The sequence below is a fragment of the Homo sapiens genome, chromosome 4, assembly GCF_000001405.40.
Source record: "Homo sapiens chromosome 4, GRCh38.p14 Primary Assembly".
NCBI classification, from domain to species: Eukaryota; Metazoa; Chordata; class Mammalia; order Primates; family Hominidae; genus Homo; species Homo sapiens.
In genome coordinates, this window is record NC_000004.12 from 41273397 (window position 1) to 41296440 (window position 23044).

The following is a 23044-nucleotide window of genomic DNA, read 5'->3' on the forward strand; positions in this document are numbered from 1 at the left end:
GCTTTTTGTGTCTCTATCTCCTTCAGTTCTGCTCTGATCTTAGTTATTTCTTGCCTTCTGCTAGCTTTTGAATGTGTTTTTCTCTTGCTTCTCTAGTTCTTTTAATTGTGATGTTAGGGTGTCGATTTTAGATCTTTCCTGCTTTCTCTTGTGGGCATTTAGTGCTATAAACTTCCCTCTACACACTGCTTTGAATGTGTCCCAGAGATTCTGGTATGTTGTGTCTTTGTTCTCATTGGTTTCAAAGAACATCTTTATTTCTGCCTTCATTTCATTATGTACCCAGTAGTCATTCAGGAGCAGGTTGTTCAGTTTCTATGTAGTTGAGCGGTTTTGAGTGAGTTTTTTAATCCTGAGTTCTAGTTTGATTGCACTGTGGTCTGAGAGACAGTTTGTTATAATTTCTGTTCTTTTACATTTGCTGAGGAGTGCTTTACTTCCAACTATGTGGTCAATTTTGGAATAGGTGTGGTGTGGTGCTGAAAAGAATATATATTCTGTTGATTTGGGGTGGAGATTTCTGTAGATGTCTATTAGGTCCACTTGGTGCAGAGCTGAGTTCAATTCCTGGATATTCTTGTTAACTTTCTGTCTCGTTGATCTGTCTAATGTTGACAGTGGGGTGTTAAAATCTCCCATTATTATTGTTTGGGAGTCTAAGTCTCTTTGTAGGTCATGAAGGACTTGCTTTATGAATCTGGGTGCTCCTATATTGGTTGCATATATATTTAGGATAGTTAGCTCTTCTTGTTGAATTGATCCCTTTACCATTATGTAATGGCCTTCTTTGTCTCTTTTGATCTTTGTTGGTTTAAAGTCTGTTTTATCTGAGACTAGGATTGCAACCCCTGCCTTTTTTTGTTTTCTATTTGCTTAGTAGATCTTCCTCCATCCCTTTATTTTGAGCCTATGTGTGTCTCTGCACGTGAGATGGGTTTCCTGAATACAGCACACTGATGGGTCTTGACTCTTTATCCAATTTGCCAGTCTGTGTCTTTTCATTGGAGCATTTAGCCCATTTACATTTAAGATTAATATTGTTATGTGTGAGTTTGATCCTGTCATTATGATGTTAGCTGGTTATTTTGCTTGTTAGTTGATGCAGTTTCTTCCTAGCCTTGATGGTCTTTACAATTTGGCAGGTTTTTGCAGTGGCTGGTACTGGTTGTTCCTTTCCATGTTTAGTGCTTCCTTCAGGAGCTCTTTTAGGGCAGGCCTGGTGGTGACAAAATCTCTCAGCATTTGCTTGTCTGTAAAGTATTTTATTTCTCCTTCACTTATGAAGCTTAGTTTGGCTGGATATGAAATTCTGGGTTGAAAATTGTTTTCTTTAAGACTGTTGGATATTGGCCCCCACTCTCTTCTGGCTTGTAGAGTTTCTGCTGAGAGATCAGCTGTTAGTCCGATGGGCTTCCCTTTGTGGGTAACCCAACCTTTCTCTCTGGCTGCCCTTAACATTTTTTCCTTCATTTTAACTTTGGTGAATCTGACAATTATGTGTCTTGGAATTGCTCTTCTCGAGGAGTATCGTTGTGGCGTTCTCTGAATTTCCTGAATTTGAGTATTGGCCTGCCTTGCTAGATTGGGGAAGTTCTCCTGGATAATATCCTGCAGAGTGTATTCCAACTTGGTTCCATTCTCCCCGTCACTTTCAGATACACCAATCAGAACTAGATTTGGTCTTTTCACATAGTCCCATGTTTCTTGGAGGCTTTGTTCATTTCTTTTTATTCTTTTTTCTCTAAACTTCTCTTCTTGTTTCATTTCATTCATTTCATCTTCCATCGCTGGTACCCTTTCTTCCAGTTGATCGCATCGGCTACTGAGGCTTGTGCATTCGTCACGTAGTTCTCGTGCTGTGGTTTTCAGCTCCATCAGGTTCTTTAAGGACTTCTCCGTATTGGTTATTCTAGTTAGCCATTTGTCTAATTTTTTTCAAGGTTTTTAACTTCTTTGCCATTGGTTCGAACTTCCTCCTTTAGCTTGGAGTAGTTTGATCTTCTGAAGCCTTCTTCTCTCAACTCATCAAGGTCATTCTCCGTCCAGCTTTGTTCTGTTGCTGGTGAGGAGCTGCGTTCCTTTGGAGGAGGAGAGGCGCTCTGATTTTTAGAGTTTCCGGTTTTTCTGCTCTGTTTTTTCCCCATCTTTGTGGTATTATCTACCTTTGGTCTTTGATGATGGTGACGTACAGATGGGGTTTTGGTGTGGATGTCCTTTCTGTTTGTTAGTTTTCATTCTAATAGTCAGGACCCTCAGCTGCAGGTCTGTTGGAGTTTGCTGGAGGTCCACTCCAGACCCTGTTTGCCTGGGTATCAGCAGCAGTGGCTGCAGAACCGCGGATATTGGTGAACTGCAAATGCTGCTGCCTGATCATTCCTCTGGAAGTTTTGTCTCAGAGGAGTACCCAGCCGTGTGAGGTGTCAGTCTGCCCCTACTGGGGGGTGCCTCCCAGTTAGGCTACTCGGGGGTCAGGGACCCACTTGAGGAGGCAGTCTGCCCGTTCTCAGATCTCAAGCTGCGTGCTGGGAGAACCACTACTCTCTTCAAAGCTATCAGACAGGGACATTTAAGTCTGCAGAGGTTACTGCTGCCTTTTGTTTGTCTGTGCCGTGCCCCCAGAGGTGGAGGCTACAGAGGCAGGCAGGCCTCCTTGAGCTGTGGTGGGCTCCACCCAGTTCGAGCTTCCCGGCCGCTTTTTTTACCTACTCAAGCCATGGCAATGGCGGGTGCCCCTCCCCCAGCCTCGCTGCCGCCTTGCAGTTTGATCTCAGACTGCTGTGCTAGCAATGAGCGAGGCTCCGTGGGTGTAGGACCCTCCGAGCCAGGTGCAGGATATAATCTCCTGGTGTGCCCTTTATTAAGCCCATTGGAAAAGCGCAGTGTTAGGGTGGGAGTGACCCGATTTTCCAGGTGCCGTCTGTCACCCCTTTCTTTGACTAGGAAAGGGAATTCCCTGACCCCTTGCACTTCCTGGGTGAGGCAATGCCTCGCCCTGCTTCGGCTCACACACAGTGCGCTGCACCCACTGACCTGCACCCACTGTCTGGCACTCCCCAGTGAGATGAACCTGGTACCTCAGTTGGAAATGCAGAAATCACCCGTCTTTGGCATCGCTCATGCTGGGAGCTGTAGACTGGAGCTGTTCCTATTTGGCCATCCCCAACTTTTTTTTTTGAGACAGGTTCTCACTCTGTCACTCCTGCTGGAGTGCAGTGGTGAGATCTCGGCTCACTGCGACCTCCAAATCCCGGGCTCAAGTGATTCTCCCACTTCAGCCCCTGCTAGTAGCTGGGACTACAGGCACGTGCCACCACACCCAGCTAATTTTGTATTTTTAGTAGAGACAGGTTTTGCCCTGTTGCCCAGGCCAGTCTTGAACTCGTGAGCTCAAGTGATCCACGTGCCTCAGCCTCCCAAAGTTCTAGGATTACTGGCATGAGCCACCACACCTGGCCCGATTCCAACTTTTTTTTTTTTTTTTTTTTTTTTGAGATAGTGTCTCACTCTGTCACCCAGGCTGGAGTGCAGTGTTGCTATCTTGGCTCACTGAAAACTCCATCTCCTGGGTTCAAGCAATTCTCCTGCCTCAGCCTCCTGAGTAGCTGGGATTACAGGCACCTGCCACCACGCCTGGCTAATTTTTTTTCTTTTTTTTTTGTATTTTTAGTAGACAGGGGTTTTGCTGTGTTGACTAGGCTGGTCTCAAACTACTGACCTCAAGTGATCCGCCCACCTCAGCCTCCCAAAGTGCTGGGATTACAGACGTGAGCCACCACACCTGGCCTCAACTTTTATATGAAGGACATTTTGGTTCCTTGAAAGAAAGTGATCCCTTCTGTTGACATCCTATTAATGTAAAAACTAAATACACAGTGATTCAGGTGGTTCTACTTGCCTTTAAATTTTAAATTCTAACTTGGTGCATGACTTCTATACAATCATCTCGAAGGTTGACTTAGGGGAAAGGAACAAAGGGCTCCTTCCTGCATATAAGCGCTGGTACAAAGATTGTTTTTGGCCTTCGAAATGTAAATTATACCACTAAACATAGCTGGAGGACTTTATACTTCATATATGAGAAGTGTATTTATTTAAATGCTCTCAAAATCCAACGTAACTTAGTGTGCCACCCCATGGAAGGTTATGCAATAGATCATGTATGTGGGTGATTGCCACCCCAGAGGTGCAGATAAATTTTGGTTTCACTAAAGAAATGCACAGAGATTAGGTTACGTGCCCATGTTCTTGTAGCTAGTCACTAGGGAAACCAGGACTTAGGCTATGGACCTGTATTAGTGCATTTTCACGCTGCTGATAAAGACATACCTGAGACTGGGAAGAAAAATAGGTTTAATGGACTCACAGTTCCATGTGGCTGGCGAGGTCTCACAATCATGGTTGAAGGTGAAAGGCACTTTTTACATGGTGGCAGGCAAGAGAGACTGAGGAAGAAGCAAAAGCAGAAACCCCTTATAAAACCAGATCTTGTGAGACTTATTCACTACCACAAGAACAGTATGGGGGAAACTGCCCCTGTGATTCAATTATCTTCCACTGGGTCCCTCCCACAACACATGGGAATCATGGGAGTACAATTCAAGATGAGGTTTGGGTGGGGACACAGAGCCAAACCATATCAGGACCTAAAGGCAGCTATCCTACTGGTAGTCAATATCATAGGCTTTAGGGTTCATCAAACCTGTCTTTGACCTCTGCTTCTACCTCAGTAACTTTGGGCAAAGGAATTATGCTCTACCACATCTTCCTTGTTTCATGTTGAAATAGACACAGTGAAGATGTCTGGGAAGGGCCTGGCCTCTAGAAGGTGGCATCTAATACCATAGTCTCTTCTCCTTTCCCTGGGCCCTCAGCAACACACAACCTCAGGGGGTACCGTCCACTTTGTATTCCATGTTAAGGCAGAGTGCTTCCTGGGGTTGTGAGACTCAGAGGACCTTGCTTCTCCAACAAGCCCTCTTATTTGACACCTCAGATTTGCCAATAGTCTGTGTATAATTGACTTATTCCCTAAAATGTTACTAGTCTTTGGTGATGAAGTTGACTTTGTAGTGCTTTCCACAGCCAAAGCCATCTGATGTTAAGTATCTCCCTATTTATTTATTTATTTAGAGATGGAGTTTCACTCTTGACGCCCAGGCTGGAGTGCAATGGTGCGATCTGGGCTCACCACAATCTCCGCCTCCCGGCTTCAAGCAATTCTCCTGCCTCAGGCTCCCGTGTAGCTGGGATTACAGGTGCCTGCCACAATGCCCAGCTAATTTTTGTATTTTTAGTAGAGACAGAGTTTCACCATGTTGGCCAGGCTGGTCTCGAACTCCTGACCTCAGGTGACCCACCTGCCTTGGCCTCCCAAAGTGCTGGGATTACAGGCATGAGCCACTGTGCCCGACCGTATCTCCCTTTTTAAACTGACACCTCAAATGTCTTAGTCTAAGTTATACATCTATACAGTACAATACTTGGACTGACTTAAACACCCATGAACATGGAAAAATGTTCATATATGAAACTAGTGAGATCTGTAAAATGTGTATACGTATGTGTTTAGAAGAGACAGGACTATAACAGATAAGTGCTTACTATATCTTAACTGCCTTACATGTTCTACTTAGTCATCACATGATGTTGGTATTATTCCCATTTTGCAGATAGAAAACTAAGGCATGGCGAAGCTTAAGCAACTTGCCTAAGGTCGTTAGGTTAATAACTGATGTTCCTGAGATTCTAACCCAAGCCAATTGGCTCTAAGAGTCCATAGTATTTAATAATTCTTCCGGGGGCAGGGACAGACCTAACTTAAAAGGAATGAAGTTTAACCTTTATAGCTCCACACTTTAATGGCCCCTTCTAATAGTCTGGCTTGTGTGTCCTTGTAAAATTTGCAACAATAGGATATTATTGTATTTTTATTCTCAAAAACATGGTTCTACACCTGTGTCTGGGTGTTAAGATTATGGGTGATTTAACTTTATATTCTAATTTTATAAGCTTTCTAAAATTACATTATTTTTTATAATAAAAAAGCTTAAGTTTTTCCCCTAAGACAGAATTCTGCCATAAACTCCTGCTGGTTAATTCTAGCTTACTTCCATGTTTCTTTAATTTATAACTGAAGTCAGTGCAACTTACAGATTTAGTTGCCTGTCTTCTAAGACGTTTTTCAACAGGCTCTGTATTAGTCCGTTCTCATCCTGCTAATAAAGATATACCTGAGACTGGGTAATTAATAAAGGAAAGAGGTTTAATTGAATCACAGTTCCACATGGCTGTGGAGGCCTCACAATCATGGCAGAAGGCAAAGGAGAAGCCAAGTCACATCTTACGTGGATGGCAGCAGGCAAGAGGACATGTGCAGCGGAACTCCCCTTTACAAAACCATCAGATCTCGTGAGACTTATTCACTGTCACAAGAACAGCACAGGAAAGATCCACCCCCATGATTCAATTACCTCCCACTGGGTCCCTCCCATGACATGTGAGAATTACGGGAGCTACAATTCAAGATGAGATTTGGGTGGGGACACAGCCAACACTTATCAGGCTCCATTATAGGGCTACTTTATTTGTTTTTAAAAATTTTTTAATTTTCAGAGACAGGTTCTCACTGTCACCCACACTGGAGTGCAGTGGCACGGTCACAGTTTACTGTAACCTCAAATTCCTGGGCTCAACAATCCTTCCACCTTCCGCCTTCCAGGCGGCACAGCTCTGGTTGACAGCTTGGGCTATACAACCAGCTCCACCCCTTACCAGCTGGGTGCCTTGGCCGATGAACTCCCTAAGCCTCGATGTCCTCATCTGTAGAGTGAGGTCAGTATCCGCCTCATAGGATTGTTGTGAGCAGCACATGAGAACATTGTGAAGTTCTTGGGGATGTGCCTGGAATGTATCAAGTGTTATTGTTTTTACTTTTTATCACCACTTAGCTCCTTTCTTTATCTATGCTAATAGAGGGGAGTTCGGCGGGGATACATTAAAACTCCTTTTTCTCCAGTCTTAATCCCAAGGTACAAAGTGCCCTTTTCTGCTCAATGCCATACTAGACCTCATTCCCTGAGGGTAATGCCCTATTTCTTTCTTTCTTTTCTTTTTCTTTTTCTTTCTTTTTTTTTTTTTGAGACGGAGTCTCGCTCTGTCGCCCAGGCTGGAGTGCAGTGGCACATCTCGGCTCACTGCAAGCTCCGCCTCCTGGGTTCACGCCATTCTCCCGTCTCGGCCTCCCGAGTAGCTGGGACTATAGGCGCCTGCCACCAAACCCGGCTAATTTTTTGTATTTTTTCACCGTGTAAGCCAGGATGGTCTCGATCTCCTGACCTCGTGATCCGCCCGTCTCGTCATCCCAAAGTGCTGGGATTACAGGTGTGAGCCACCGCGCCCCGCGGTAATGCCCTATTTCTAAAAGAAGTTTTCCTAAAAGTTATCTTAAACCATAGTGCCCAAACCATCAATGCCTTGTTCATTGCAGTGAGACGAATGCATTTTGCCTTACATTAAAGCATGAAGAATATAAGTGTATTTACCCTCTTGAGGTTACCAATTTTTAAAAGGGAATGATATAATTTAAAATTTAAAAGCTAATTTTCTAAGGACAAGAAGTATTTTAAAAACAGATCAATAGGTTTTTGCTTTGGTTGACATAAGGTATCTCTAGTCATCAAAATAAACAACCTTTAAATGTCCAGCATTTGGATGTTTAAATCCAAACTGAGCGGCTAATATCTTGAATTAACCCATTTCACACCCAAGCACACCGACTAATACGGGAAGGCAGATGATGTATTCAAGGCTATGTGCACTATATCCAGTAGGTGGCAGCATAGGAAAACTTATGGCACTATTGTAGCTGGTAGGATGAGCCAGAAATCTTAATACCAGGAGCAGTTGGTGACTGCCCTTCTTAGGCAAGATGGAGCAGTTTGATAGCATATCCCATATCATTCTTTATTTTAGCGCCGTGTTTCAGACTGGATGAATTTGTCCAGCTACAGATTGGCTAAAGCTGGCCCTGTGAATTGCTTGTTGGTCCATTCATATTTTTGGGTAGGTTCTATTTATTTTTTCATGAAAGTAAAATGAAAGAGAGAAGCAGTAATAATTTCACAAGTTCACTATAATGAATGTCTCTTCTGCTTACGTCGAGTTAGATATTATCCCAAATATAATTGATTTTATGTAATCAATTATATTATCAGTTCTACTTCTAGTAAAACCTTGCTTTCAAATCTATCTTAACATAAGGGTTTAATATAAACCAGTTTGACTTTTCCATCAAGAAAACTGAATCTGGTTCCAACATTGACATTAATTAGTTGGGTTACATTAATCAATTCTCTTTTCTTTTTTTGGTCTCAAATGTGTGTGTGTGTGTATATATATATTTTTTGTTTGTTTGTTTTTTGTTTTGAGATGGAGTCTCACTATGTTGCCCAGGCTGAAGTGCAGTGGCGTGATCTTGGCCTACTTCAGCCTCCACCTCCTGGGTTCAAGCAATTTTCCTGCCACAGCCACACAAGTAGCTGGGATTACAGGTGTGTGCCGCCACACCCAGCTAATTTTAAGTATTTTTAGTAGAGACAGGGTTTTACTATGTTGGCCAGGATGGTCTAAAACTCCTGACCTCAAGTGATCCGCCCACCTCAGCCTCCCAAAGTGCTGGGATTATAGGCGTGAGCCACTGTATCCAGCCTCAATTATATTTTAAAATAAAAGAATTAGGTAGGCTTGAATTCTACTAAAGTCTCATATCCTATTATGTACCACAAGCTTTGAAAATGTTCTTTTTTTTTTTTTTGAGAAGATAGTAGCAGCAATGAAATAATAGTTATTATTTTCCAGGGTAACAATTTTAAGAGATAAATACCCATTTGCATACGTAAATCCTAATTAATCCCATTCCCTTGTGGTCATAATTCCAACAATGGCAATTAGATGTGGCACGTTTGGGTTGGGAACAGATCCTCAATTTAGGAGTTTTTCTATGATCTATATTTTTTTACTTAATGTAATTTGTTTCATTGTAATACACATTTGTTTCCCTTTTAGTGCTTTTTTGGGGTTCTTACAATAGAGCTGATAATCTTTTTAATGGGTGCTTTCAAAAGAAAGAGGTGATGAGATAAGGATCAGAACTGCTGAAAGACATGTGGGAAGTAGCAGTGTTTTTCTTCTAGACTCAGAACCTGGAAAGATTTTTTAAGAGTTTAAATGTGACTCAATCCTTTGTCTTATACATGAATCCTCTCTGCTTTTCTATTCAGCCATTGGGTTATTTTTGAATCCCTAGTTCTAGTAAAGCTCAAATGCGAGTGCTTCAAAGAAGTGCATTATTTATGAACCACCAAGCTGAGGACCAAAACAGGTTTTATGAGAAACTTAATTTTAACAACATAGTGTTAATTTTCCATAAGCAACTTAATTATCTATGCTAATAGAGGGGATTATGGCTTGAATACATTAAATCCGCTTTAAACTAACTTAAATATTTTAATATTATTGTTTCTGTTAGTCTAAGAGTCCTATAAGGAAGGGGCCATATGGTTGGGTGTGGTGGCTCACACCTGTAATTCCAGCACTTTGGGAGGCCAAGGCCAGAGGAACCCTTGAGCCCAGGAGTTCAAGGCCAGCCCGGGCAACATAGTGAGACCCCTATCTCTACAAAAAATGAAACACTATCTGGGTATGGTGGTGTGCAGCTGTAGTCCCAGCTACTTAGGAGGCTGAGGCAGGAGGCTCACTTGAGTTCGGGAGTTTGAGGCTGCAGTGAGCCATGATCACACCACTGAACTCCAGCCTGGGCAACAGAGTGAGACTCTGTCTCACAAAAAAAGAGTGGGGGGCATATAAGTTCAAAAGGAGTTTATAAACGATTCAGCGTCCTGATAGTGTCACTTATCACAACCAGTCTTTCTTAAAGTATGGCCTGGGGACCCATGGGGCTCCCTGAGACCTTATACAGAGTCTGTGATGTCAAAACTATTTCCATAATGATCCTAAGACATTATGTATCTTTTTCACTCTTGAATGTAGAAGTAGATAGGTGAATCAGATGTCACTATTAAGCCAGTACTTCACTTTAGATGGAAAAATGTAAAACAATGCCATTCTTCTATTTTTTTAATTGTAAAAAAATGTAGTTCTTTTTTGTAAAAAATGTGTTGTTACCATATTTATAACTTTTTTTTTTTTCGAGACAGGGTTTCACTGTGTTGCCCGGACTGGAGGGAGTGGCATGATCACGGCTCATTGCAATCTCAACTTCCCAGGCTCAAGTGATCCTCCCACCTCAGCCTCCCAAATAGCTGGGACTACAGACTCAAGCCACCATGCCCAGCTAATTCGTGTATTTTTTTTATGGAGATGGGGTTTTGCTATATTGCCCTTGCTGGTCTCGAACTCCTGGGTTCAAGCGATCCAACCGCTTTGGTCTCTTAAAAGTGCTGGGATTACAGGCGTGAGCCACCAGACCTGGCCCCATGTTTACAATTTTTATGTTAAAGTTAATTAATAAAGATTTCAATTATTCTCAGCTTTGATTGCTAAGATGACATATATCAATAGACATAACATATTGAGGTCCTCAATAATCTTGAAGAGATAAAGGGTTTCCTGAGACCCAAAAAGTTTGAGAATTATTAGACTAAAGCCAAGTACTGAGCCAGAGATACTCCCTGCCTCTCCTGTATCTTTTTTTTTGTTTTTTTTTTTTTTTTGAGACAGAGTTTCATTCTTGTTGCCCAGGCTAGAGTGCAATGACAAGATCGTGGCTCATTGCAACCTCTGCCTCTTGGATTCAAGTGATTTTCCTGCCTCAGCCTCCCAGGTAGCTGGGATTACAGGCACCCGCCACCATGCCTGGCTAATTTTGTATTTTTAGTAGAGATGGAGTTTCACTATGTTGGTCAGGCTGGTCTCGAACTCCTGACCTCAAGTGATCCACCTGCCTCGGCCTCCCAAAGTGCTGGGATTACAGGCATGAGCCACCATGCCCGGCCTCCTCTCCTGTAGCTTTGAATGTTTGTTTTGCTGCCTACAGTTTTTACATAATTAATATAAGCTATATGAAGAATATTGTTCTCCTTTCATAAGTTTCCATGTGTCTCCATGGCCATTACTCTCATCGTTTGTAACTGCTGTTATACTCTATGATACTAATATACAATATTATAATTTAATGTAATTATTCTTTTTATAACAGTATTACATTTTTTGTTATGAAATACAGTCCAAGGTGACAGCAGGGTCAGTATCTGGTTAGGGCCCTCTCCTTACACTACAGACAGCAACCTTCTCAATATACCCTCACATGCTCTTTCTTTGGTGCCTGCAGTGGACAGAAAGAGAGAGAAAGTCCTTTGGTGTCTCTTCCCATAAAGGCGCTAATGCCACCACGATGGCCCCACCCTCATGATGTCATCTAAACTTAATCACCCCAAAGGCCCCATCTCCAAATACCATCACACTGGGGCTTAGGGCTTCAGTTGATGAATTTCAAGGGGATATAATTCAGCCCATAGCAGAAGTTCACCCTCAAAACAACCTAGTAGCACAAATTCACCTCATGCTAACTTACATATGATTGGATATATTTTATATTAAATAACACAAAACAATTTTAGGTACATGGGAGTCGTACAACAGTTGCTTCAAAAAATACATGCTTGGGGGTTGGTGATTAGGGGTGACTTTGGGATCTACGTCAGGGGCTCACCATCCTCATCAGAAATCCTTCACTCCTCCAGAGAAAGGGCAGCCACATAATCATTTGCCCAGGCCCCAAATGCTCTACCTGGGTTGTTTGATTGGCTTGAGCAAAAGGACTTTGATGTTCCTTCGGCTGAGCTCAAAGGACTGCTCAGCTGCCGTAGATTATCCCAAAGTTCTGTGTAGTCAGATTGCCTGGTGCTTTATTCCTAAGCTGCTTTTATGCCTTCCCGTCCTCACCTTGCCTGACTCCTGAGCAGCAGGGCCCACCGTTCACCTCTTGGCCAGTTCCAGCTTCAGCAAGTGCACGCTGTTAGTTGACCTTTGACTCTCAAGTCTGCCAGCCCCACAGCTGCTTCTTTTAAGAAATTTGTAATGCCCCCTTTACTCTCCTAAAATAAAATTCATAGCTAATATAACCTACCTACACATATAATGTTTACAAATCAATTTAAAGACACAAAATATGTATTTTTTTCAACCTGTAAACGCTCAGTTATTACTCCATAAGATGCATAAAGTAGGGAGAGGCTTGTATGTAAACATGAGATCCCTGAGAGAGGAACAGACACACAGCTGATGTAATCAGGGGTCACAGCAGCTCATTATTGGCCATGGGAAGTTTCCAAAATGGTGAACCATCTTGGCAAAATTCCAAACACAATTATATTACATTCTGCCCTTGATTTACCCCATAATTGCACTTATGAAAACTTCAGTGCAAAAACTCTGTGAAAAATATTTTATATATAGGATCAGAAAATTATACACAGATTTTTCATCTACAAGAGTCCCCATGGGGACATTCAAAAGCTGTGTAAGACGCAGCACAAATTCCTCATTGTATGAGACTGCCTTCTGGTGACTCGGGCCCTGAACACTAAATGCCAGTGGGACCTACCCTACTATGATTACAACAACAAAATATTTGCCCACACATTTCCAAAACAGCCCTTAGGGGTTGGCACTACCACCCCTAAGGACCACTTAGCTAGACTGGAGAATCTTTAATAACTAATCTGTGCTTGGCAGAATTCTAAAATGGTCCCCAAGATTCCCAGCCCCTGGTGCACAGACACCTTCTCCCAGGTATTTAATCCGACACTAATCTAGATGCTGCACTGAAGGGATTTTGCAGGTGTAATTAAGGCTCCAAATAAATGGACATTAAGATAGAGAGATTATACTCAGTTGGCCTGACCCAGTCCTTAAAAAGGACTGGGCTCTTTCTGGCAAGGGAACGACTGGCAGCCTTGAGGGGCTAAGACTGGTCTGCAACTGACCATCAGCAAGGAAATGAGGATGTAAGTTCTACAACCGCAAGGACTTGAACTTGACCAACTGTCCCATATAAGCCTGGAAACTGATTCTTCCCCCAGAGCTTTAGAAAGGGACATAGCCCAGCCAACTCCTTAATTTCAACTTTTAAGTTTCTAAGAAGAGAACCCAGTCACTCTGTGCTAGACTTCTAACCTGCAGAATTATGCTCTAATGAAGGAGTGTTGATTTAAGCCTCTAAGTTTGTGGTAATTTGTTATGCAGCAACAGAAAACTCACACATAATTTAATTTTATTTATTTTTTTTTAAGAGACAGGGTCTCCCTGTATTGTCCAGGCTGTTCTCGAACTTCTGGCCTCAAGCAATCTTCCCACCTTGGCTTCCCAAAGTGCTGGGACTGCAGGTTTGAGTCACTGTACCTGGTCTCACACATAATTTAATAAGGCAATGCAATGTGTTCACTAAAACACTGGGCATCCCCCTTGTTGCCCTCTGTCAACCACCCATTCTCTGTCCCTACCACTGACCCTCATGGTTGGACTGGGAAGAAGTCATATTGATTCTTCTCAGTTCCTTGCCCTCTCTATCTCTCTGAATATGAGGGTGAAAAGCATACACTGAAATTCCAAAAACTGACCACACTCCCTGATTCTAGATCCTCCCTGAGGATGTTGAAGGTCATCTGGGTTCTCTGGTTCAGCCCACAGCCTATGTTTACCTCATTTATAACCTCTGCTTATGCTTTTCATCATGAGGCACTGTGCTGGTGAAACCTAAACAGGAAAAGTAATGTGTAACCTTAACTATTTATTGAAATCTGATCCGCATGTTTTACTCATTGCTGCAGAAGGTCACATAAATCTAATCTGTATGAAAACAATGAAAAAATGTTCTTCAGCATGCATGGGACTGAAATACTTCACATTTTGTGTGCAGGAAAGAATCCCAGGCCCTCAGGTATGACCCATTGCCTACTTCCCTCTGGGACTATTTTTTTCTGTGTTCTCCCACCCCCCACCGCCCTTTGCAGGCATCAGCCACCAGAAATGCCACCAACAGAGTCAGTTCACTCTGGAAGGCTCTCTTTTTTGTTCCTTTTGGAAACACGAAAGCCACATTTGAGAGCTTTATGATAATTATTATTTTAAAATTTAAAGCCCATAAAATCATCTTTGAAATAAAGAACAACAGTTGGCTCAGAGACCAGGCTTAGTTTTTCTACTTCATGTGCCTATATTTGCTTCCGTGGGATGCTATGGACCCATGCCCCTTTTTGTAAAGACATGTGGTGCCAGTATAGAGGCCATAAGTTTACTATTATTTGTGCAATTGACTTATTTCATGAATTTGCCCCCAGACTGTCTTCTGATATTGTTTACCCAATCACAAAAGGGGCCTTCAAATATTTATAGCATTTCCTTCTTTTTTGCCTTACAATATACTCTGGATTTCTCAAACTTTTGAAATCAGCATGCATTGTACATTAATTTTCTTCCTAATCTTTCCCTCTGATTATATATCTCCCCCATTTTCTTAATCGCTTTGACACAGGATTCTTTTGGTGCCACTTTGCCAGACAAAAATCTCCACCGTCAGCAGTTCCTCTGCTGGGGCTTCACATGGGCCTGCTGGGCTCACCTCACCCACTCTGCTCAGCAGGCTGCGCTCTGCTCATGCTACTGGCCCAGATCGCACGCCTGCTGTGGCTCTGTGCCCAGCCTGTGGCTGGTTAAGGCGTGCGGTGACCAGCTTCTGCCTTGGGTGCCGGCGTCTGGACAAGGGAGATGTGGTGGTACCCAAAAACTCGGAGATGCCAGCAACTGCAGAGCCCCCAAGGGGTGTTACAGCTTTTGGTTGGGGAGTCCCAAGGTCTGAGCCCCCAGGAAGTGTCACAGCTTGTTCGGTCCTGCTGCCCGCAGCTCAGTGAATGGGGGTGTGTGGTGTCAAGTGGTTTTTTCACTCCGGTAGCTCTGCGAGCAGGAATGTATGTTACAGCTCTTTTCGCACCCTCCATTCAGCAGGTTCCAGGTTCTTGTCCCGTGACCAAGAGGAATGAGGTATGCAGACATCAGAGAGTGAGCAAGGCAGATAAAATTTTATTGAGCGAAAGAAAAGCTCTTGACAATGAGAGGGACCCTGAAACGAGCAGCCCTCTGTGTGAGACGGGGCTGAAAGTGGGTAGTGGTCTGTGGGGCTGAGTCCGGGGTTTTCTGTGGGCTCAGAATAGGAGAGTGTGTGCTAATTGGTCCATGATTTGGCCTGGAAAAAGCACCATTCGATTGGCTAAAAGGCATGAAGGAAGTTCTCACTGTGGTCGTGGACTCCACCCAGAACTGGCAGTTTGGTTTTCCAGCTTCATGCTGTCTTTGACTTGAAGGTCGGGTTTCACCGGGGTCCTGTCCCTGTCTGCCTAGGAATTTGTTTCCTGCTGCTATCAGCTTTATTACGGTATAATCTACATACCATAAAAATTTAACTGTTGTAAGTATATAATTTATTATTTTTATGAATAGAGTTGTTAAACCATTACTGCAAATCCGGTTTTAGAACATTTCCATCATCCCTAAAAGTTCTCTCATGTCTGTTTACAGTTAATCCCTGATCCCACTGCCAGCCCCAGACAACCACTGATCTGCTTTCTATCTCTGTAAATATGCCTTTTCTGGACATTTCATATAAATGGAATTATACAAATAGAATCTTTTGTATTTGGCTTCTTTCACTTAGCACAAGTTCATTTGTGCTGTAGCATGTGTCTTAGTTCTTTCTTTTTTGCTGCTGAATAGTATTCCGTTGCATAAAAATACCATATCCTATTTACCCATTCATCAGTTCATGGACATCTGGGTTGTTTCCAGTTTTGAGCTATCGTGAATAATACTGCTCTGAACATTCATATGCATGTATTTATGTGGATCAGTTTTAATTTCACTAGGGTAAATTCCTAAGGGCGAGTTACTGACATTCTAGTTTCTGTCTCACTGACTCCTTATATAAGAACTTAGGATGCATAGAGCAAAGTCTGGTGTTCTGATGGTGTCCACCTAGGCAGGTGGCCTATGTAGAGGATGGCCCTCCTCCTCCACCACTACCTGGTAGTGTCAGTGGAGAAGGGAGCGGAAAAGATGGCTATCAGTGGTTACTGGCTGAGCTGCCATACGTGGCAGTGGCCCTACTCAGGCATGAGAGTCCCTAAAGCTGAATTCCCTGATGGCCCCTATGGATTCTCAAGGAACATATTTCAAGACTTGGTTTTTAGGCCAGGTGCAATGGCTCACACCTGTAATCCCAGCACTTTGGGAGGCCAAGGTGGGTGGATCACCTGAGGTTGGGATATCGAGACCAGTCTGGCCAACATGGTGAAACCCCACCTCTAATAAAAATACAAAAATTAGCTGGGTGTGGTGGTGCACACCTGTAACCCCAGCAACTTGGGAAGCTAAGGCATGAGAATCACTTGAATCCAGAGGTGGAGGTTGGAGTGAGCCGAGATCACACCACTGCACTCCAGCCTGGGTGATAGAGTAAGACTCTGTCTCAAAAAAAAAAAAAAAAAAAAAGACGAGATTTATAAATATATATATTAAAAATTCTATATATTTTATTAAACAATTTTTAAATATATATTTTTTTGAGGCAGGGTCTTGCTCTGTTGCCCAGGCTGAAGTGCAGTGGCACAAATGCTGCTCACCATAGTTTCAATTTCCTAGGCTCAAGCAATCCTCCCACCTCAGCCTAAGTAGCTGGGACCACAGGTGTGCACCACCATGCCTGGCTGATGTTTGCATTTTTTGTAAAGACAGGGTCTTGCTATGTTGTCCTGGCTGGTCTTGAACTCCTGGCTCAAGCAATCCTCCCACCTTGGCCTCCCAAAGTGCTGGGATTACAGGCATGAACCCCGTCTGGTCTATTAATATGTTTAAATGTCTTCTATTACTATTTTAAATTTACTATGGCAGGCAGTATATGTTATTAAGAACTTCTGATTTGGAAGACTTGGACTTGAATCTTGATTCTATCACTAACTATATATATTTCCTTCAGCAAAGAGCTTAACTTCTCAGGATCGTCACCAAAACAGGGGGAAGGGCCATCCTGTGGCTTAAAAAGGAGATAATTTTTTTTTCATAGAAAGGTGAGAAAAATGAAATCTATTGGGCGAAAAGGAACAAAAGGGAAACAGGGACTCTCAGCAAGGCAAGAGTCTTGCTTTCAGTTTCCTGCCTCACAGCTTGAGTCCCAGGTACCACCCAGGAAGAGGAGAGGCCAGGCACCTCCCTGCTGCAGAATGGCAGGAACTTCCCGAGGCTCCACCCTGTTCTCCCAGTACGCAGCCTGGTCAGAGCCTCTCCAGGGACCCTTTTATATTTGGCTGTCTCAGTTTCATCACCTGTAAAGGGTGGATAAAACTATTTGTTCCTTCTAGCTCACGTTGAAATTAGATTACAGATGGAAAAGTATTCTGGAAAATTTCCAAGTGTTTTGGAAGTGGGAATTCTCCTCGTTCTGTGCTTCCGATCTTGGGAAATGCCACCACTCACCTCCCAAGACTTGAAACTTGGACTCTCTTCTCTCATCTCCATACCCCATCTTAATTATTTTCCTCCCAAATATACTTAAAGTGTGTCTCTTCCTCCCATCTCCACTGATACTTCCTCAGGTCAGACTCTTGGCATTTCTTACCTAGATTATTGCAACAACCTTTTTTTCTCATTTTTAAATATTATTAAAAATTTTTAAATTGTAATAAAATATATACAACATAAAATTTGCCATCTTCCCCATTTTAAGTGTACAGTTCGGTGGCATTAAATAAATTCACATCATTGTACAGCCATCACCACTGTTCATCTCCAAAACTCTTATCAGCTTGCAAAACTGAAATTCTGTACCCATTAGACACTAACGCCCAATTCCCTTCCCTCCCCCAGTCCTTGGCAACCACTATTCTACCTTCTGTCTCTATGAATTTGATCACTCTAGGTACATCATACAAGTAGGATCATACAGTATTTATCCTTTTGTGACTGGCTTGTTTAACTTAGCACAATGTTCTAAGGCTTCACCCATGTTGTAGCATGTGTCAGAATTTCCTTTCTTTTTATTTATTTATTTATATATTTATGTTTATTTATTTATTTTTTTGAAATGGAGTCTCGCTCTGTTGCCCAGGCTGGAGTGCAGTGGCGTGATCTCCACTTGCTGCAACCTCCACCTCCCAGGCTCAAGTGATTCTCCTGCCTCAGCCTCTCGAGTAGCTGGGACTATAGGCGCACGCCACCATGCCCGGCTAATTTTTGTGTTTTTAGTAGAGATGGGTTTCACCATATTGGCCAGGCTGGTCTCAAACTCCTGACCTCGTGATTTGCCTGCCTCGGCCTCCCAAAGTGCTGGGATTACAGGTGTGAGCTACCGTGCCCGGCCCAGAATTTCCTTTCTTTTTAAAGTTGAAACAATATTCCATTGCATGCACAGACTATACCACATTTTGTTTATCCATTCATCTGCTGATGGACATTTGGGTTATTACCAACTTTTGATGCTTGTGAATAATGCTGCTATGAATATGGGTATACAAATATTAATACCTCTTTGAGATCCTGTTTTTAAATTCCTTATGCCCATAAGTGGAATTCCTGGATATTTGGAAGTTCTATTTTTAATTAGAAAAATAGTTTTTGAGGAACTGTCATATAGTATGTTTCCCATAGCAACTGCACCATTTTACATTTCCACTGGCAATGCATAAGGATTCCAATTTCTCCACATTCTCACCAACACTTATCTTCTGTTTTTTTTTTTTTGAAAAATGTTAAAGTAATCATCCTAGTGGGTATGGAGGTGCTATCTCATTGTGGTTTTGATTTGCGTTTTCCTAATGATTAGTGATATTGAGCATCTTTATATGTCATACATAAAAAGAATGAAAAGGTAACCTATACAATGAGAGAAAATATTTGCAAATCATATGTCTGATAAAGGGTTAAAATATATAGGGTTAATTCACTCATCTATAAAGGGTTAATTCACTCATATAGATGTCTTTTCTTTTCTTTTCTTTTCTTTTTTTTTTTTTTTTTTTTTGAGACGGAGTCTTGCTCTGTCACCCAGGCTGAAGTGCAGTGGTGCGATCTCGGCTCACTGCAAGCTCCACTTCCTGGGTTCATGCCATTCTCCTTCCTTAGCCTCCTGAGTAGCTAGGACTACAGGTGCCCACCACAACTCCCGGCTAATTTTGTTTTTGTATTTTTAGTAGAGACAGGGTTTCACCATGTTAGCCAGGATGGTCTCGATCTCCTGACCTCATGATCCTCCCACCTCGGCCTCCCAAAGTGCTGGGATTACAGGCATGAGCCACTGTGCCTGGCCTATAGATGTCTTTTCTAAAAAAAGAAAGATAAAGGGTTAATTCACTCATATAGATGTCTTTTCTAAGAAAGAAAGAGAGAGAGAAAGAGAAAGAAAAGAAAGAAAGAAAGAAAGAAAGAAAGAAAGAAAGAAAGAAAGAAAGAAAGAAAGAAAAGAAAAGAAAAGAAAAGAAAAGAGAAAAGAAAAGAGGGAGAGAAGGAGGGAGGAAAGAAAAGAAAAGAAACCAGAATGCCAGAATGGCATAGAGCCATGTGAGGTTGCACTTAATGGACTGCAGAGTAGCAGCACGAGAGTCCCCCATGGGATGCATTAACAAGGCTTTCTGGAGGGCAGGAATCCTGAGTGGTCCCAAACTTGACTGTACATTGTAATCAACTGGAATGCCTTAAGGAGTCCCAATGTGTGGGTTCCACCACAGGGATTCTCATTTATTCAGTTGGGGTACAGCCTGGGCATCTGTATGTTTTAGAAGTTCCCAGATGAGAGATGAAAGTGTTCTGGAACTAGACAGTGGTGATGGCTGTATATTCTGAACGTATTAGAACAGATTATATGTCACTAATGGTAAATGCTATGTTTGTGTATTTTACCACACACACAAAAGTTCCCTGATGATGCTATGGGCAAGACAAAGTTGACAATCAACAAAGCTTTGTTGCCATTTCTCAGATAATAAGAATCAAGTGGAAGTCTTTGTTAAATAAATAGATTGCCAGACCTCAAAGCCAGGAAGTCTCATTCTGTTTATCTGGATGGGGGCAAAGGAATCTGTGCTTTCAAATAGAACACCAGGTAATTCTTCTTTCTTTTTTTGAGATGGAGTCTCTGTTGCCCAGGCTGGAGTACAGTGGCATGATCTCGGTTCACTGCAACCTCTGCCTCCCAGGTTCAAGCGATTCTCCTGCCTCAGCCTCCCGAGTAGCTGAGACTACAGGCCCGTGCCACCACACCCGGCTAATTTTTTTAGTAGAGACGGGGTTTCACGGTGTTAGCCAGGATGGTCTCAAAATTCTGACCTCGTGATCCACCTGCCTCAGCCTCCCAGAGTGCTGGGATTACAAGCATGAGCCACCGTGCCCGGCCAACACCAAGTAATTCTTATACAAGAGAAGTTTGGGAAACCCAGATATACCCAGTGCTTCCCAAGCCTGCTCAATTGTAAGAATCACCAGGGGATCCTGTTAAGCTTCCAAATCTATTGATAGGCCCATCTAGACTTTTTTTTTTTTTTTTTTGAGACAGAGTCTCACTCTATCACCCAGGCTGGAGTGCAGTGGTGCAACCTTGGCTCACTGCAACCTCCACCTTCTGGGTTCAAGCGATTCTCCTGCCTCAGCCTCCCAAAGTGCTAGGATTACAGGTGTGAGCCACTGAGCCTGGCCCATCCAGACCTATTAAACTTGGATCTCCAGAGGAAGGCTGGGACTTGGTGGACTTAATATGCTACCCAGCTAATTCTCCTGACCAGGCACACTTGAGAAACACCATCTAGTCTAGCCCTCAGTGTTGGCTATTCTACAAAACCTCCTTAAAGAAAAAATCAAATTCCTTACTCCCAGAGATGCTAATTCTGGGTGGGGCCCAAGTATCCAAAGTTTATTATTTTTTGTTTTATAAGCTACCATCCCTGAGTTTGAGGAATAACTGAAATGAATCACTGTTGCAGCCATTCTTTTGGAAAGCAAATTGTGCTCATGTTTCATGGTTACTTATTGAGTCCTTGAGCATGTGCAGTTCTACACAGCAGTATATCCAGAAGCTGAGAATTAGAAAGGTAAGGGTGTCTCAGCCTGCTGTAAGGGAGATGGCTGTGCTTTAGTCAGGAGTAGTCTGAGGAAGCCTTCTGGTGCAGCATAACTCAGCAGGTTTGGAGTGCAGGTGCACAACTCCACACAGTATTTAACCATGCCATGTCAGGCACATTATGTAACCACGCCACGTAAGGTGCATTAGGTGATCACCCATGTGAGCTCATGCTTGGCTTGGAGTCACTATTGCCTGTAAAAGGTATAATTACCCTGCTGACACTGTACATATGGCTCATGCCCAGGGAGAGAATGTACATACAGCTCGTGCCCACAGCTCATGCCTAGGCTCGCTTGTGCCAGAGAGAGGGTAAAAGCCATGTTGAAACTGTCTACAATTCCTCGAATGTTTTTCCAGCTACCTGCCACCCCACTGACTCCCCTCGGACCTCAGTTAGAACCTAACACCTGCCCGTGAAGTAGCTGGGAACAAGTCATGGAAGCAGGAAGAAAAGGATTGAGATGCACAAAGAGTAAAGAAAGAGAATCCTCGGTGACAGCTTGCTGTCATGTGGGGCGAAACAGAGATCCCTGGTGAGCTTTGACATCTCCTCCAAGGGGCCTGGTTGGCAGAGTGTCCAGGGTTGGGTCTTGGGGGAAGTCTCTGGTGGGCTGTGTCCATTCTCTATCTATCTGGATCCTAAGCTAATTAAAGGAAGCTGCTGTAGCCTTCCTCCAAGCCAAGGAGCTCTATGATTGCTTCTGACCAGAATATGGTTCTACTTGAGGCAGAAAACCCTTAAGAAGATGAATTCTTTTCCAGTATCTTGGGCTTGATAGGAAAATACACGAGTCTGACAGTCAATTAGAATGAATCAGAATTCATTTATTTCAGTAATCTTCATATCTGTACAAGGCAATCCTCTATTTTACTCTGCCTATCCAAGCGTTTTCAGTTGTCTCCTATGGTTGTTATAAGCTTTTTCTCTTTGTCTTGCCAACATCCATATCATCTCTTCTTATGTTGAGAGTATAGGGAGAAACAGACACAGGCATGGCTCCTTGAATAGCCCTCCCAGAGGATCAAGTGCATGACAGATCGAGGCAGAAAGAAGCGTAGTGAAAGTAGTGACCTAGAGGGTGCTGCTTATCTGGCTCTGCTGGCTCTGACCCCTGGAAACTTGGCGGCTGTGGTCAGGTAGGGTTCTTAAATAATCCACTGTTTATCCCAGACATGAAGGAAACAAATTACAGTAATGAGCCCTATAATGACGTTTCAGTCATCGATGAACTGCATATATGACAGTGGTCCCATAAGAGTATAATGGAGCTGAAAAATTCCTATTGCCTAGTGACATTGTAACCATCATAGCACAACTTCACTCTAGTGTGGTGATAATGCTGGTGTGAACAAACTTACTGCACTGCCAGTCATATAAAAGTCTAGTACACACAGTTATGTACAGCACATAGTGCTTGATAATGATAATGACTATGCTACTCAGTTATATATTTACTATACTATACTTGTTTTCGTTATTTTTGAGTGTACTCCTACTTATTAAAAAAAAGTTAACTGTAAAACAGCCTCAGGCAGATCCTTCAGGAGGTGTTCCAGAAGAAGGCATTGTTATCATAGAAGATGACAGCTCCAGCCGGGCGCAGTGGCTCACACCTGTAATCCCAGCACTTTGGGAGGCCAAGGTGGGCGGATCATGAGGTCAGGAGATCGAGACCATCCTGGCTAACACGGTGAAACCCCATCTCTACTAAAAATACAAAAAAATTAGCCGGGGGTGGTGGCAGGCACCTGTAGTCCCAGCTACTCGGGAGGCTGAGGCAGGAGAATGGTGTGAACCTGGGAGGCAGAGCTTGCAGTGCGCCGAGATTGCACCACTGCACTCCAGCCTGGGCGACAGAGCGAGACTCT

At 43.0% G+C, this 23044-nt stretch overlaps 1 annotated feature.

Moving 5' to 3' along the window:
• Positions 14760-15260: an enhancer, noted in NCBI's record as "H3K4me1 hESC enhancer chr4:41290173-41290673 (GRCh37/hg19 assembly coordinates)". NCBI's record gives its function as "activates a minimal SCP1, AML or CMV promoter by ChIP-STARR-seq in primed H9 embryonic stem cells {active_cell/tissue: H9 hESC(primed)}" and the evidence as "EXISTENCE:reporter gene assay evidence [ECO:0000049][PMID:30033119]".